The sequence below is a fragment of the Homo sapiens genome, chromosome 6 (assembly GCF_000001405.40).
Source record: "Homo sapiens chromosome 6, GRCh38.p14 Primary Assembly".
Classification (NCBI taxonomy): domain Eukaryota; kingdom Metazoa; phylum Chordata; class Mammalia; order Primates; family Hominidae; genus Homo; species Homo sapiens.
Window position 1 is genome coordinate 43169739 of NC_000006.12, and position 13378 is coordinate 43183116.

The 13378-nt window shown below is 55.2% G+C and overlaps 2 protein-coding genes across 21 annotated transcripts in view, besides 10 other annotated features; both read left to right on the top strand.

Annotated features, from left to right (window-relative positions):
* Window positions 735-1464: an enhancer, noted in NCBI's record as "NANOG-H3K27ac-H3K4me1 hESC enhancer chr6:43138211-43138940 (GRCh37/hg19 assembly coordinates)". NCBI's record gives its function as "activates a minimal SCP1, AML or CMV promoter by ChIP-STARR-seq in naive H9 embryonic stem cells {active_cell/tissue: H9 hESC(naive)}" and the evidence as "EXISTENCE:reporter gene assay evidence [ECO:0000049][PMID:30033119]".
* Window positions 1440-2019: a silencer, noted in NCBI's record as "silent region_17219". NCBI's record gives its function as "represses an Ori minimal core promoter by ATAC-STARR-seq in GM12878 lymphoblastoid cells {active_cell/tissue: GM12878}" and the evidence as "EXISTENCE:reporter gene assay evidence [ECO:0000049][PMID:35858748]".
* Window positions 1531-11768, top strand: SRF (serum response factor). Of its 3 annotated transcripts, none has more exons than NM_003131.4 (7): window positions 1531-2431; window positions 4109-4375; window positions 5968-6229; window positions 6810-6929; window positions 8556-8747; window positions 9068-9144; window positions 9357-11768. In NM_003131.4, exons 1-7 carry the CDS (start codon window positions 1919-1921, stop codon window positions 9450-9452), a joined length of 1527 nt encoding a protein of 508 aa, NP_003122.1. In that variant the 5' UTR covers window positions 1531-1918; the 3' UTR covers window positions 9453-11768. The 3 variants fall into 3 exon arrangements, with proteins under 3 accessions (NP_003122.1, XP_047275224.1, NP_001278930.1); XM_047419268.1 differs by lacking the exon at window positions 1531-2431 and adding an exon at window positions 2658-2840; NM_001292001.2 differs by lacking the exon at window positions 1531-2431 and adding an exon at window positions 2658-2713.
* Window positions 2491-3459: an enhancer, noted in NCBI's record as "NANOG-H3K27ac-H3K4me1 hESC enhancer chr6:43139967-43140935 (GRCh37/hg19 assembly coordinates)". NCBI's record gives its function as "activates a minimal SCP1, AML or CMV promoter by ChIP-STARR-seq in primed H9 embryonic stem cells {active_cell/tissue: H9 hESC(primed)}" and the evidence as "EXISTENCE:reporter gene assay evidence [ECO:0000049][PMID:30033119]".
* Window positions 2750-2959: an enhancer, noted in NCBI's record as "active region_24593". NCBI's record gives its function as "activates an Ori minimal core promoter by ATAC-STARR-seq in GM12878 lymphoblastoid cells {active_cell/tissue: GM12878}" and the evidence as "EXISTENCE:reporter gene assay evidence [ECO:0000049][PMID:35858748]".
* Window positions 5108-5337: an enhancer, noted in NCBI's record as "active region_24594". NCBI's record gives its function as "activates an Ori minimal core promoter by ATAC-STARR-seq in GM12878 lymphoblastoid cells {active_cell/tissue: GM12878}" and the evidence as "EXISTENCE:reporter gene assay evidence [ECO:0000049][PMID:35858748]".
* Window positions 8125-8626: an enhancer, noted in NCBI's record as "H3K4me1 hESC enhancer chr6:43145601-43146102 (GRCh37/hg19 assembly coordinates)". NCBI's record gives its function as "activates a minimal SCP1, AML or CMV promoter by ChIP-STARR-seq in primed H9 embryonic stem cells {active_cell/tissue: H9 hESC(primed)}" and the evidence as "EXISTENCE:reporter gene assay evidence [ECO:0000049][PMID:30033119]".
* Window positions 8627-9126: an enhancer, noted in NCBI's record as "H3K4me1 hESC enhancer chr6:43146103-43146602 (GRCh37/hg19 assembly coordinates)". NCBI's record gives its function as "activates a minimal SCP1, AML or CMV promoter by ChIP-STARR-seq in primed H9 embryonic stem cells {active_cell/tissue: H9 hESC(primed)}" and the evidence as "EXISTENCE:reporter gene assay evidence [ECO:0000049][PMID:30033119]".
* Window positions 12129-12198: an enhancer, noted in NCBI's record as "active region_24595". NCBI's record gives its function as "activates an Ori minimal core promoter by ATAC-STARR-seq in GM12878 lymphoblastoid cells {active_cell/tissue: GM12878}" and the evidence as "EXISTENCE:reporter gene assay evidence [ECO:0000049][PMID:35858748]".
* Window positions 12449-12588: a silencer, noted in NCBI's record as "silent region_17220". NCBI's record gives its function as "represses an Ori minimal core promoter by ATAC-STARR-seq in GM12878 lymphoblastoid cells {active_cell/tissue: GM12878}" and the evidence as "EXISTENCE:reporter gene assay evidence [ECO:0000049][PMID:35858748]".
* The window catches only part of CUL9 (cullin 9), a 42392-nt gene continuing 41471 nt past the window's right edge, over window positions 12458-13378 (top strand). For 14 of the 18 annotated variants that reach the window (XM_011514422.2, NM_015089.4, XM_011514424.2 and 11 more), the window contains exon 1: window positions 12458-12511. The gene's annotated coding sequence lies outside the window, so the exon portion shown is untranslated. Of the gene's footprint in view, window positions 13351-13378 lie in introns of all 18 variants that reach the window. The other 4 variants (XM_011514423.3, XM_047418475.1, XM_047418478.1 and 1 more) reach the window with 2 other exon arrangements.
* Window positions 12609-12658: a silencer, noted in NCBI's record as "silent region_17221". NCBI's record gives its function as "represses an Ori minimal core promoter by ATAC-STARR-seq in GM12878 lymphoblastoid cells {active_cell/tissue: GM12878}" and the evidence as "EXISTENCE:reporter gene assay evidence [ECO:0000049][PMID:35858748]".

Sequence of the window (13378 nt, forward strand, 5' to 3'; positions counted from 1 at the left end):
GAGACTCTGTCTCAAAAAAAAAAAAAAAAAAAACTCAGGGAATGGATAGCAGCATTGATGAATATTGCGTCTGGAGAGATCAGATCACTTGTCACTTGTTTCCAGGCACAGGGCTTACCAAGAGGCAGATTCCAGATTTAAATAATTCTGTAACAGCAAAGTCCAAGCTATTTTCACTGCTTTGGAGAAAAGACCCAGACCCAGAGCTTGAACCTCACTTTGCAGCACCCCAGTTCTAATCTTTTAAGTTTTTTTTTTTTTTTTTTTTTTTTTCTGCTGGGCACGGTGGTTCATGCCTATAATCCCAGCACTTTGGGAAGCCGAGGGGGAAGGATCGCTTGAGGCCAGGAGTTCGAAACCAGTCTGGGCAACATGGCAAAACCCCATCTCTACAAAAAATACAAAAATTAGGCCAGAGTGGTGGCGCGCACCTGTAGTTCCAGCTACGTGAGAGGCGGAGGTGGGAGAATCGCTTGAACCCGGGAGGCAGAGGTTGCAATGAGCTCAGATCCCGCCACTGCACTCCAGGTTGGGCGACAGAGCGATACCCTGTGTGAAACTTTTTTTTTTTTCTCCAACGGGCTTTCCAGAGAAGTGTGTGTATGTGCGTGTGTGTGCGCGAGCGTGCTTGCTTGGGCTTAAACTTTCTGTCGGGCCACACTTTCCCAAGTCTTTGCACTGGCTGTAGGGTGGGCTTTATCCTCGGGACGTCCTCCTCCCCAAGTCCAGCCTGCAGCTGGAAGTCTTCACTGATCTCCATCTCTCCTCCCTGATCTCCGTCTCTCCTCCCTGCCCGCCTCAGGACTGGGAGGCCGATCTCTCTCTCTCGCCCTCCCCTCCACCAGCCTTTTCCAGATGTATGTCTGCCAAAGACCCCCCAGTGCAGAGGATGATGAATGAAGATCCTCGAGCCAGCCCGGTGGGAAAGTTTCGTCGCCTACAAAAGCGAGGGAAAGGGAAGGGAAGTTGGGGGTAGGGGAAAAGTTAGAGCTGAGAGGCTGGGGCGCGACGAGTCTGGACACCGGGCGGGGACCCAAGCTCTCTCCGCTCAGCCAATAACTGTGCCTCCCTTAGGAAGGCGTGAGGAAATGCTCCAATCAATCCCTGCACTCCTCCCTTGGAATTTGGGCTGTATTTTTTTATTTACTGCAAACCCCACAATCCACCCAGGGGTTTCCCCAGTGTTTGCCTCCAGCGGTCCCGGTGCCCATTTACTAGTGCTGCTCCCTCTCTTCCGCAAGACTGCGCTCCAGTCCCAGCCTCCTTCTCCGCGGGTGCCTCCCAAACCGTTCTATCATTCTCGGGTTCAGGGAGGCGGAATCGTGCCTGCTCTCCGGTTCCTTTAAGAGGCGTCGGCTCCACCCCTCTCAGAGTCGCGGTCTGACGCGAGATGACAGCAACGAGTTCGGTATGTCTATGCAAATAAGCGCCCTCTTGTGGGCCAATGGGGAGCGGAGGTGCCGGAACCACGGACCAATGGGGCGGGGGCGCTGGGGCTCACCATATAAGGAGCGGCCTCGCCATAAAAGGAAACATTGTATCTCTTTATATGGGGGGAAGGGTCGGGGGATCCCTCCGCCGCCAGCGCGTGGTCCCGGCCCCCTCCACCCGCCGTCTCGGCCGCGGCCAGCAGCCCCTGCCCCCCGGGGGACGCTGACGGCCGCCCGGCGCGCCGCCCTAGCAGACGGACAGGGGGCGCTGCGCGCGGCCTGGGGCAACCCGGGCCACAGGGGCAGGAAAGTGAGGGCCCAGGTCGGCCCGGGCGTGCAGGGGCCCCGGGTTCGCAGCGGCGGCCGCGGCAGCGATAGCGGCACTAGCAGCAGCGGGAGTGCCGGGTTGAGCCGGGAAGCCGATGGCGGCGGCTGCGGCGGCTCCGATTCCTCGCTGACTGCCCGTCCGCCCTCCTGCATCGAGCGCCATGTTACCGACCCAAGCTGGGGCCGCGGCGGCTCTGGGCCGGGGCTCGGCCCTGGGGGGCAGCCTGAACCGGACCCCGACGGGGCGGCCGGGCGGCGGCGGCGGGACACGCGGGGCTAACGGGGGCCGGGTCCCCGGGAATGGCGCGGGGCTCGGGCCCGGCCGCCTGGAGCGGGAGGCTGCGGCAGCGGCGGCAACCACCCCGGCGCCCACCGCGGGGGCCCTCTACAGCGGCAGCGAGGGCGACTCGGAGTCGGGCGAGGAGGAGGAGCTGGGCGCCGAGCGGCGCGGCCTGAAGCGGAGCCTGAGCGAGATGGAGATCGGTATGGTGGTCGGTGGGCCCGAGGCGTCGGCAGCGGCCACCGGGGGCTACGGGCCGGTGAGCGGCGCGGTGAGCGGGGCCAAGCCGGGTAAGAAGACCCGGGGCCGCGTGAAGATCAAGATGGAGTTCATCGACAACAAGCTGCGGCGCTACACGACCTTCAGCAAGAGGAAGACGGGCATCATGAAGAAGGTACCAAGCCGGGGGGCTGGCCGGCCCCGGGGCCCGGTTGGGGTGGGGATGTGCAAAGGGAGCCCGGGAGGACCGCAGAGCCGAGGCGGAGGTGAGAGGCTGCGAGTCCGCAGGAGGTGTGTGGGAGGGGATGGCTCCTGCCCGGGGAGGGCCGAAGGGGAGGGGCCGCCGGGGAAATGTGGGGAGAGGGGAGATCCCGCGAACGCTCGCAACCGTGGGGAAAGGCGCAGAGGTGGGAGTGACCGGCGCCAGAGAGGAAGAGGGCCCTTGCTGAGTGAAGGGGTGAGGAGCGGTGATGGGAGGCTACGAGGCTGCCGGGGAGGTGGATAATGAGAACCCGGGATCAGTAGGTCCAGTGCACTCCGGTGTTCGGACGAGGGCGCCGGAAAAGCAGGGAGCAAACGAGAAGGTATGGAGGTGAGGAGGCTGGAGCTGCATGACAACAATGAGCGAACATGTGTGGGAGGAAGTGGGCACCACGAGAGTAGTGCTGGTTGGAAGGACAGGCAGGGTTAGGGACCAGGTAAGGGAGCGGGGCAGGAGAACTGGTGCTGCCCTGAGCAGCAGGAACCTAGTCCTGCGCCGGCCGTGAGTCTTCCATGGCATCCACTGGGAACCACATGCTCCTGGCAGGACCCGCTGCAGAATCTCCTGCCGTTAGGACAAGTGGGGTTTCCAGCCCTAGGGAGAATCTATGCTTGGATGGGGTTTGGGGGAAGTCAGGGAGGCTTGCAGAGGTACCTAGGAATTCCTCTTCTGCCAGCCAGTGAAAAGTGTTGAGGAAAGGAGTCATTTTGGGGTGTAGACGATAAGGGAAGAGATGAAAGCAGAGGAACTGGGAGACAAGGAGCTGGATCCTTGGGAACACTGGCTGGTGTTTATTTCTGTCCCATGTAGAAACCAGAGCTGCTTCCAAGGTGGTTTGCAGAACTTTGTTGGGAGAGTATGGCATCTATGGGGCCATCCTTGAAGGTCCCCTTCCTGGGCTCATGGCAGGATGTTTAGTGCTAATCTAGGTCTCGTCTCCCATCACTCCAGACACTGTTGTATCAGTGTCCCTTGTCACTTGATCATCAGTGGAGAAGATTGTGGGGGGAGGTAATTAAGGAAAACTCTCTTCTCTCCTTCCATAACCTTCTTCCCAAGACAAAGGAGTAAGGGCAGTAAAGTATTACAGGGCAAAAGGAGAAACTAGGCTGTGGCAACAAGTTGGAGCCTGTGCAGTTTCTGGAAAGAAACATGGGACAGTTGGAGCTTAAATGGTCCATTATCACTAATGTCTTGTACAAATTCCAGTGTGATAGGTAGGGATCCATCCTGGTCCCTGTGACAGTGAGAAGGGGTGAGGCTCTGGGACATTCCAGGCACTAAGCTGTGTTGGGGAGCAGCTAGCTGGGTCCTTCGTATCCCCTGAAGTTATATGTTCCATCACTGGGGGCTGTTACTGTTTGCTTGGGGTATCTTCAGGTCAATGGGGCTGCTCCTCAAAGGAGGAGCATGGGTAGTTTTGCTGCTTCCAGAGATCCTGATAGGACACCCTGCCCTCAGAGTCATTAGAGACGAAGGTCATTATGGGAATGGGGGAATGACATCACTGTATAATTCTTTTTCCAACTTCTCAAGGAAGGTAGAGATAAAAAGTTTGCTGACCTGCCCATCTCCCTCCTCACCCCTCAGGCCTATGAGCTGTCCACGCTGACAGGGACACAGGTGCTGTTGCTGGTGGCCAGTGAGACAGGCCATGTGTATACCTTTGCCACCCGAAAACTGCAGCCCATGATCACCAGTGAGACCGGCAAGGCACTGATTCAGACCTGCCTCAACTCGCCAGACTCTCCACCCCGTTCAGACCCCACAACAGACCAGAGAATGAGTGCCACTGGCTTTGAAGAGACAGATCTCACCTACCAGGTGTCGGAGTCTGACAGCAGTGGGGAGACCAAGGTGTGTTTGGGTTGCCTATGTGAGAGGAGGGAAGGGAGTGGGGTCCCTCTCCCTTTCTGGCCCAGGACAGGTGGATAGGTGCCCACCGATGTGGAGTGGAGCCGGATTAACGACCCTCGTCCTAGGGGACAGGTGTCCATCCTCACTTTCCTGATAGAAGACCGCCCCCCTAGATAAGCGGGCGGCCTCCGTGCCCATATAAGGCCGGCTTGGGCTCCACGCCGGCCTCCCGCCCGCAGCCCGCCTGCCTGGCAGGGCCTTTGCATTCCTCCCGCCAGCTGTCTCCCCGCTAGGGGCGGGGGTGTAGTTTAGCCCGGCCCTCCGGGCTGGGTCGCCAGGGAGTAGAAAGGGAGCACTCCGGTCCCGGGGTCCTGGGAATCCAGCACTCTTGGCAGGCGGGCTGGTTGACTGGGCCGGGGACTACCTTACAAGCCAGCCGCTGCCCTTTCAGGGTGTTGGGGGCCTGGGCAGTTAGGGAGCGCATTTGCCTGCTGCTAGGGATGCCTGCGCTGTTACTCCTCCCCCTTCCTTTTCCCGGTAAGGAGAGGGGGTGGGGCTTCCTCCCTTGCTGTCTGGGGAGCTCCACCTTCCGGGTGGCACTTAACTGACTGGCCAATGGGAGGAAGCGGCACTGTTTGCCTTAGCAACGCCTCTGCCAATCAAGGGTCTTGGGCCCAGCTGCTTTGCAAACGTCTCGTGCTGACCCACCCCGCAGCCTTTGAGCCTCTGGTTGACTCATTTCGGGTCTGGGCTTGGTGGCTTGGTTCTCAGTTTCCTTCTTCCCCTTCTAAGAACGAAGTCTTCCTTAGGGGAGAGTCAGTGCTGTAGGCTACCTCCTCTCTTAGTGGCATATCATCTGTAATAATTTTTAAACTTTTATAACAGTAGGGCTCATTTATTCCCAGGAAATTTTGTTGGATGAGTACATTCTTTTGGTAGTTTACATCTTGGGTGTTTGACATATAGTGTGTCATTGCCAGATTCTCAAGATCTCTCTCAAACTCTTAAGTTCCCTGAGAAACTCAGTTCCTATCTCAGAAGCCTGACAAATTAGAGCTGGAAGAACTCTTTGAAAGAAAACGTAGTAGCCCAGCCCCCTCATGCTTATAGAAGAGGAAAACCGAGGTTCAGAAAAGGGGACTGGTTATTTCAGGGTCACTTAGATGGTCATTACCAGAGCTAGGAACAGACCTTGGTGTCCTGACTCCCCAGCCAATGGGATTACCACAGTCCGCTGGAGCAGAGAACTCAGGGGATTATAATAATGACAATGATAATAATTATCATAAGAGCAGCAAATATTTATTTTGGTTTTTTTATGTGCCAGGTAGTGTTTTCTAAGTGATTTACATATGCTAACCTACTTAATCCTTACAGCAACCTAGGGGGTAGGTATTATCCTCCTTTTACCGATAGAAAACTGTAGCTCAGTAGATCAATAACTTACCTAAGAGTCAGGCATCAGGTAAATGGTGGCGTTGGGATTTGAACCCAAGCTCACTGGTTTCAGTCTGGGTTCTCAGTCCACACAAAGCTTCTGCAAAGGCAGGATCTGGTAGGGGCTCATTGCTTCATCTTTACTCTGGGTATAGGACACACTGAAGCCGGCGTTCACAGTCACCAACCTGCCGGGTACAACCTCCACCATCCAAACAGCACCTAGCACCTCTACCACCATGCAAGTCAGCAGCGGCCCCTCCTTTCCCATCACCAACTACCTGGCACCAGTGTCTGCTAGTGTCAGCCCCAGTGCTGTCAGCAGTGCCAATGGGACTGTGCTGAAGAGTACAGGCAGCGGCCCTGTCTCCTCTGGGGGCCTTATGCAGCTGCCTACCAGCTTCACCCTCATGCCTGGTGAGTCACGAGGGGCAGGGAGAGATTCGTCCTTCCTGGGGCAAATCAAGCATGCTAAGAGTGTGTTTAGGGCTGGCACCAAGAGAACCTCTTTCCCTGCTCAGAAGGAAGGTGAATAGGGGCCAGAGCCTGAGCGAAGCCTCTTATATCCCGTTGGCAGGCATACCTCTGCCCACTGAGACCCCTGCTGTCCTTGTCAGTAAGTTTCAACCATATATTCTGGCCCTGTCTAGCTACCCCAGCCCCGTGCCCTCATTGCCACAGGGCAGTAGATGTTTCACCACTTCCTGCCTTGACTGGAAGGCAGATCATGTCTTTGATGGGTTATTGCCAGCTCTTGGGTCAACTGAAGAAAAGAGAGACAAGGCCCAGGGCAGGAGGAGGAGGGATGGGCAAGAGTAGAGCGTGGAAGCCCCCAGAGTGGATACTTGGGCCTGAAGGGCCTCTTTGGCTTCCAGGAAAGATAGTGATGGGAGTTGGAGACCAGTGTGCCAGACCCTGGGACTGGGGTGTCCATGGGTACTTGGTGGAGGTGGCAATTGGGTGGGACAGAGCACAAATAAGACTCTGTGTCTTGCAGGTGGGGCAGTGGCCCAGCAGGTCCCAGTGCAGGCCATTCAAGTGCACCAGGCCCCACAGCAAGCGTCTCCCTCCCGTGACAGCAGCACAGACCTCACGCAGACCTCCTCCAGCGGGACAGGTATAGCTCGCAGCCCTGTCACCCTCCCTCCCTGCCTTCCCCCACGAGGCCTAGCAGTAGGTGCCCAACAGTAACCCTCCTGTAACTAAAGTCAGGGGATTTCTTAAAGTGGAGATTGAGGCTTTGGGCCTAATAATTATGGGGAAGTCAGGTGAGGATGACTGGGTTTTGAATCCCGCCCTGCAGTGGGCTGCGGATTCCAGAAGAAAATTGGGGACCATTGACCTACCTCCTCATTCAGATGAGGAGCCTGAGGCCTAGAAATAAGAAGTTACTTGCTCAAAGACACATTTGCTTAATTATCAGGAAGGACTTAGAGAGCAATTTTCTCTTTGTGCGAGGGTCTTACAGGTTTTGAGTAGCCACAGTTACCCTCAGGTATCTCTAGACATTTCAGAAATGATGAGATACTCTCAAAGTAAGGTTAATTTTAAGTTCTTATTATTTATAACCTTTTTACTCAAAGTGTGGCCTATGGACTGGGAACACCAGCATTACCTGGGAGCTTGTTGGAAATACAGAATCTTGAGTCTCACCCCAAACCTAGTGAATCGGAGTCTGTTTTTTTTTTTTTTTTTGAGACGGAGTCTCGCTCTCTGTCGCCCAGGCTGGAGTGCAGTGGCACCATCTCGGCTCACTGCAAGCTCTGCCTCCCGGGTTCACGCTATTCTCCTGCCTCAGCCTCCCGAGTAGCTGGGACTACAGGTGCCCGCCACCACACCTGGCTAATTTTTTTGTATTTTTAGTAGAGACGGGGTTTCACCTTGTTAGCCAGGATGGTCTCGATCTCCTGACCTCGTGATCCGCCCACCTCGGCCTCTCAAAGTGCTGGGATTACAGGCCTGAGCCACCGCACCCGGCCCAGAGTCTGTGTTTTAACAAGATTCCCATATAATGCACGTTAACATTTGAGAAGTGCTTGTTTGAAAGATGAATTTGTTAGCTGTGCATTAAGAAGGAGAGAGAGGCCGGGTGCGGTGGCTCACGTCTGTAATCCCAGCGCTTTGGGAGGCCGAGGGGGGCAGATCACGAGGTCAGGAGATTGAGATCATCCTGGCTAACACGGTGAAACTCCATCTCTACTAAAAATTCAAAAAATTAGCCGGGCTTGATGGCAGGCATCTGTAGTCCCAGCTACTCGGGAGGCTGAGGCAGGAGAATGGCATGAGCCCAGGAGGCGGAGCTTGCAGTGAGCCAAGATCGCGCCACTGCACCCCAGCCTGGGTGACAGAGTGAGACTCCATCTCAAAAAAAAAAAAAAAAAGGAGGGAGAATGAGAACAAATAAAAAATAAGATGTTAGAGCTCCTAAAAGGGGAGTATCTGAGTTTTCTGAGAGTAGGTCAGTCATAATCTTTGTTTTTCCCAAGATTTAGGACTTAGAGAATTCAGTAGATAGACAATTGAATAAATAGTACAATGTGATAGGATACAATTAAAGATTGATGCTGTTGTGTTCAAGAAAAAATAGGCTTTTCTTAGTTGATGATGGAGCTGAGGAATAGTCGTGTCTAGCTTCTGACCTGGGAAATGGCAAGAGGGCTCTGGGGGCCTGGAATTCCTAGGGACGGAATGGGAGTTATCAGTGGGGACCAGTGCCGAGCTGACACATGTCTGTGTTTGCCAGTGACGCTGCCCGCCACCATCATGACGTCATCCGTGCCCACAACTGTGGGTGGCCACATGATGTACCCTAGCCCGCATGCGGTGATGTATGCCCCCACCTCGGGCCTGGGTGATGGCAGCCTCACCGTGCTGAATGCCTTCTCCCAGGCACCATCCACCATGCAGGTGTCACACAGCCAGGTCCAGGAGCCAGGTGAGTAGAGGAGCAGGGCTAAGGAAAGGAGGACCGTTTCCTTCTTTATACACACACACACACACACATACACACACATATGCACTGATGCCTACAAATATTTCTACCCAAATACAACACAGACTTGGATGCTCACACACACATTTGGACACCCCACTTGGACACTCACACCCGCATGCACCCTCAGACACACTGGCACCCTTTCCCTTGGGCTCTTACATCTGAGACTGCCCCAGTCACTTGTGCATTTGACACCACTCCTCCAATATCTGGAAGTTTCAACAAACAATTTGAGTATCTCCTGTGGTTTTCCAATGTAGGTGGCGTCCCCCAGGTGTTCCTGACAGCATCATCTGGGACAGTGCAGATCCCTGTTTCAGCAGTTCAGCTCCACCAGGTAGGTAGGGATATCTTTCACCCCATCCCAGATAGCCACTTCTTTGTCTTGACCTTAGGGGATCCTGTTACCAGTTCATCAAAGCCAAAATCCCTAGCCTGGAAGCCCATCTGCTTTTCTGCTCAGGCCTGTGGTTGGCAGGCAGGGAAGCCAGGGGAGCCTGAACTGGCTGGCCAGTCCCTGCCCCTCCTCATACATCCCCTTCCCTCCAGATGGCTGTGATAGGGCAGCAGGCCGGGAGCAGCAGCAACCTCACCGAGCTACAGGTGGTGAACCTGGACACCGCCCACAGCACCAAGAGTGAATGATCCGCCCGCCGCCCTGGACAGATGGCCCAAGGGATGGCACCACTTATTTATTGTTGCCTTTTCACGTTTTCTTTACACACACGTTGACGGGCCGCAGGAGGGAGGCGGGGAGGAGGAACGGGCAGCCACAGGACTGAGCCCTCTCACTCCAGCCAAAGAAATGGGCCTGCCTGCCTCCACCCGTCCTCCCTCAGCCTCCCCTTCTTCCCGCCCCACCTCCCATTTCTGTTGCTGGAGGGGCTGTCCTCCTTCCTGGGACCCCCTCGCCAGCTTGGCTCGATGTTTGCCATGAGTATTAGCTTACCCAATGGGACCGTGCCCCACCTCCCCACACACAGGCCTTCTGTGGGGCTGGGCACCGTGTCCTCCTCTGAGGAAGCAGTTGGGGCCCTCTTGCCAGCCTCCTTGCTGACCCCAGGTCAGCCCTGTGTCTGTCACAGGCTGGGTCAAAAGAGCCCTGGCTCTGCCCCTCAGGGGGCCAGCTGGGGAGATGGGGGCTTCTTCCTCACACTGCTGTCCTCTCCCCCTTCAGCTCCTGAGTAGCTGGGCCTGTGCACTGGGCAGGTTCCTGGGGCCGCCTGCCCTGCCTTGCCGCTCCCCTTGGACCTCCAGGGGCTCCTGGGTTGGAGGGAACCACCAGCGTTCCCTTCTCCCCCTTGTCTTCCCCCCTCTCCTCCCAGCTGCTTTACTTAAAGTTGATTTTGAACTTTTTATTTGAGGAGACGAAGTGAAAACAAATCTATAAATATATATTTTTAAAATATTTAACTTTTTTTTATGGCGTTTTTCTCGTCCCCCTCCCTGCCCAAACTCCCCTTCCCTGGGGAGCCCTCAGGCTCCCCAGAACTGGCTGGGCCCCTGGGGACAGAGCCACCCCATGAGCTCGGGGTCCACCAGTGTGTGGGGGAGATTCTGGGTTTGCCCAGTCCTGGGTTGTTTCCAGGAGAAAGCCGGGGGAGGGGCCCTCAGGCCATTCCCCAACGGGGTGGGGAGGGTGACCCACAGCTCTGGGCCTCTTTTTGCCCTTTAGGGCTGTTGCTAGGGAGAGGGAAGAGGGAGACCAAATGTCGGGGTTGGGGTGGGAGGGCGTCAGGCAGAGGCAACTGACTTCATTTGTGCCACACGCATGGGCATTGCAGCCTTGCGCTGTCCCAGGCATGCAGCTGCCTGGGGCCCAAGTTGCAGTGAGCAGGGTGGGGTCTGGGAGGGGGTGAGAGGCAGGAATGGGGGTCAGAAGAAGTGGGAGCAGCTTCTTGGGCTGAGTGCAGCCAAAGGGGAGCCAGAAATGGGCAGTTCTCCCAGGGAGTGAGCAGCTACTGTAACTTTTTTAAATTAAGACAAAAAGCCTTGAAGAAAATGACTTTATTTTTCTAAGTGTAACCTCAGTATTTATGTAATTTGTACAGGGGCCATGCCCCACCCCCCTCCTCCCCCTTTGGGGTAGACCTTGAGGGTGGGCCAGCATAGGGGGGAGGGTCTTTTACCCTGTGTCAGAGCCTACCTTCACCACCTATATCCAGAAGGGGAGCTTTTTCAGAAACAGGGCAGCAGTGGGGTGAAATTTTCTTAACCCCTAAGACTGCCTTCAGTAGGAACAAGCTGGCTTCTGTGATTAGGTGAAGGGATGGGGGAAGATTTTATGCACAGCCTAGTTATCAAGGGGATGATTTGCCGACATGTTTGAGAACCCCCTAACCTCTAACCCTCATTGCTGTCTTGCCCCAGTTTGGGGTGCCAAGATGGAAGTCACCTTTCTGGGCTTTCTCCTGGAGATAGCTGGGGCTTATGGGTGGCTTTCAAGGCTGGGGCATGGCAAATCAGGGGCCAGAGAGCAGGGGAGCTTGGGACTCAGGTCTGTAACTGCCCAGCCCCTTTTCTCTGCTCTTGTTTCACTCCACCATCACTCACTCACTCCCCACTCCCCCACCCATGGGGAGGAGACCTTTGATGAATTCTTCCTCTCCTTCCCACAAAAGACAGACCCAGTGAGTGAATCAGGCAAAGTGCTTATAATGTGTGTTGTGTGAGCGTGGCCTTGGGAGGACATGCGTGTGTCAGGGATGAGTTGAGGTGATATTTTTATGTGCAGCGACCCTTGGTGTTTCCCTTCCTCGGTGGCTCTGGGGTATGTGTGTGTGGGTGTGTGCGCCTGAGTGAGTGTGTGTGCTTGAATGTGAGTGTGTATGTCAGTGGTTTCTACTTCCCCTGGGATGCTGACCCAGGAATAGTGGACATGGTCACAGTCCTATGTACAGAGCTTTCTTTTGTATTAAAAAAAAATACTCTTTCAATAAATGTATCATTTTTGTGCACAGACTGTGGGGTCTTTGGTTCTGTTTTTCTACTTAGGGAGGGATGGGGGTATGAACGCGAGGCAAACTCCTAAAATTGCTGCTCTGAGTAGCGATCCGGGCTGCTTGATGAGAACGGTAATGCTAAGGTGTGCTTTGGGCTGTTTAATTCTATACGATTTAATTTAAGGAAAGTTTTGCGGGGCCGAGGACCTTCTCCCTGTGCGTGGCTTCGCTAGGTGTTAAGGCCAACGCAGAGGAGCAAATTTTAATTAACAGGAAAAGTGACACAACTAATCCAAAGCATTGCTGAAGGGTTTGGGAAACTCATGGGCACCTGACCTACTGAAAAGTCAAAAAGGGCAGCCTTAAGGTGGGAATGTGGGTTACCATGTTTCGTCAGCATGATCGCTGTGATGGGAGAGGGAGGATTAGGAGGGCCGACCCAGTGAAGAGGAGGGGGCTTCACAGTTGACTGGATGGAAACGGCTTCTTCCTGCTGCTGAGAGAGGAGCAACGTGACCTCGATCCCAGGCTCCTCCGGTAGCGCGCCCCCACGCCCCTCTTCCAGTGCAGCCGCCCGCGGTAGCACGCATGCTCCACTCGCGCGCTGTTCCGCCACGCTCGGCGTGGGCCGCGGTGGGACCCGTAGGTGCCCGGCCGTGCGTGCACTCGCCGTGTGACCCGGAAGGGAGCTCTGAGGAGGCGGGGCCAGGACGGCGGGACCGGCCGCTGGGTCCCAGCGAGGGCTGAGCCGGGCGGTGGGAGGTGAGAGGAGAGTTCTGCGCCGACCCAATCCCTCCCCTTCTCCTGTCCCCTCCCCGGTCCTTTAGCCACTGTCCATGGGGCTGACGAAGGGAACCAGGTCTTGCTCTCTGAGATTCACTGGATCTTTTCAGCTTTTTTGGACCGCGCCCCCAACCATCCTTCCCCCTCCCCCCAAACCCGTTCCCTCTGCGGTGCTGGCCTCCTCCACCTCCCCACGGCTCTGCAAGCTTGGGCTTGACCTTGCTATCTGCTGGTCTCATCCATGCGTCCAGAGCTCACCCCCACACCTCAGTTTATTGTTGCTCTTCTAGGCCGACGTTACACCTCCTACCTCCTCCTATCCGATTCTTTTACTTCCCCCTGCTGCTAATCAGTTGCCCGCTGGCACATCGCTGGCTACCATCCAGGCTTGCCCCCCATCCTAAGTGGACCCCTACCTCCATTGAGGTCCACATCCATCTTTCTCCCTCCTCTTCACCTCTACTCTCATCTTCTGTCCCTGTACCCCAACATGACCCCTGCCCTGACCACTATATCTTCATCTGGGTTTACCTTCTTCCATTCTTATTCTCACTATTCCCTGTTGCCCCTGCACTGCTTCATATCACGCATATCTTTCCTGATTATTCCACTCCCATTTATAATCGGTCTTAATAACTTTGCATTTATTTGATGACTCCCCTACCTTCTCCATCTAAGAATAATAACAGATTATGTTTACTGAACACTCTTTATGTGCTAGATGCTGTTCCAAGTGCTTTACATACATGATCCTACTAAATTCATGAAGTAACTATGAATATTACTACCATCTTGCAGAAGAGGAAACAAGCTCAGAGGTTAAGTAACTTGTTCCAAACTATGCAG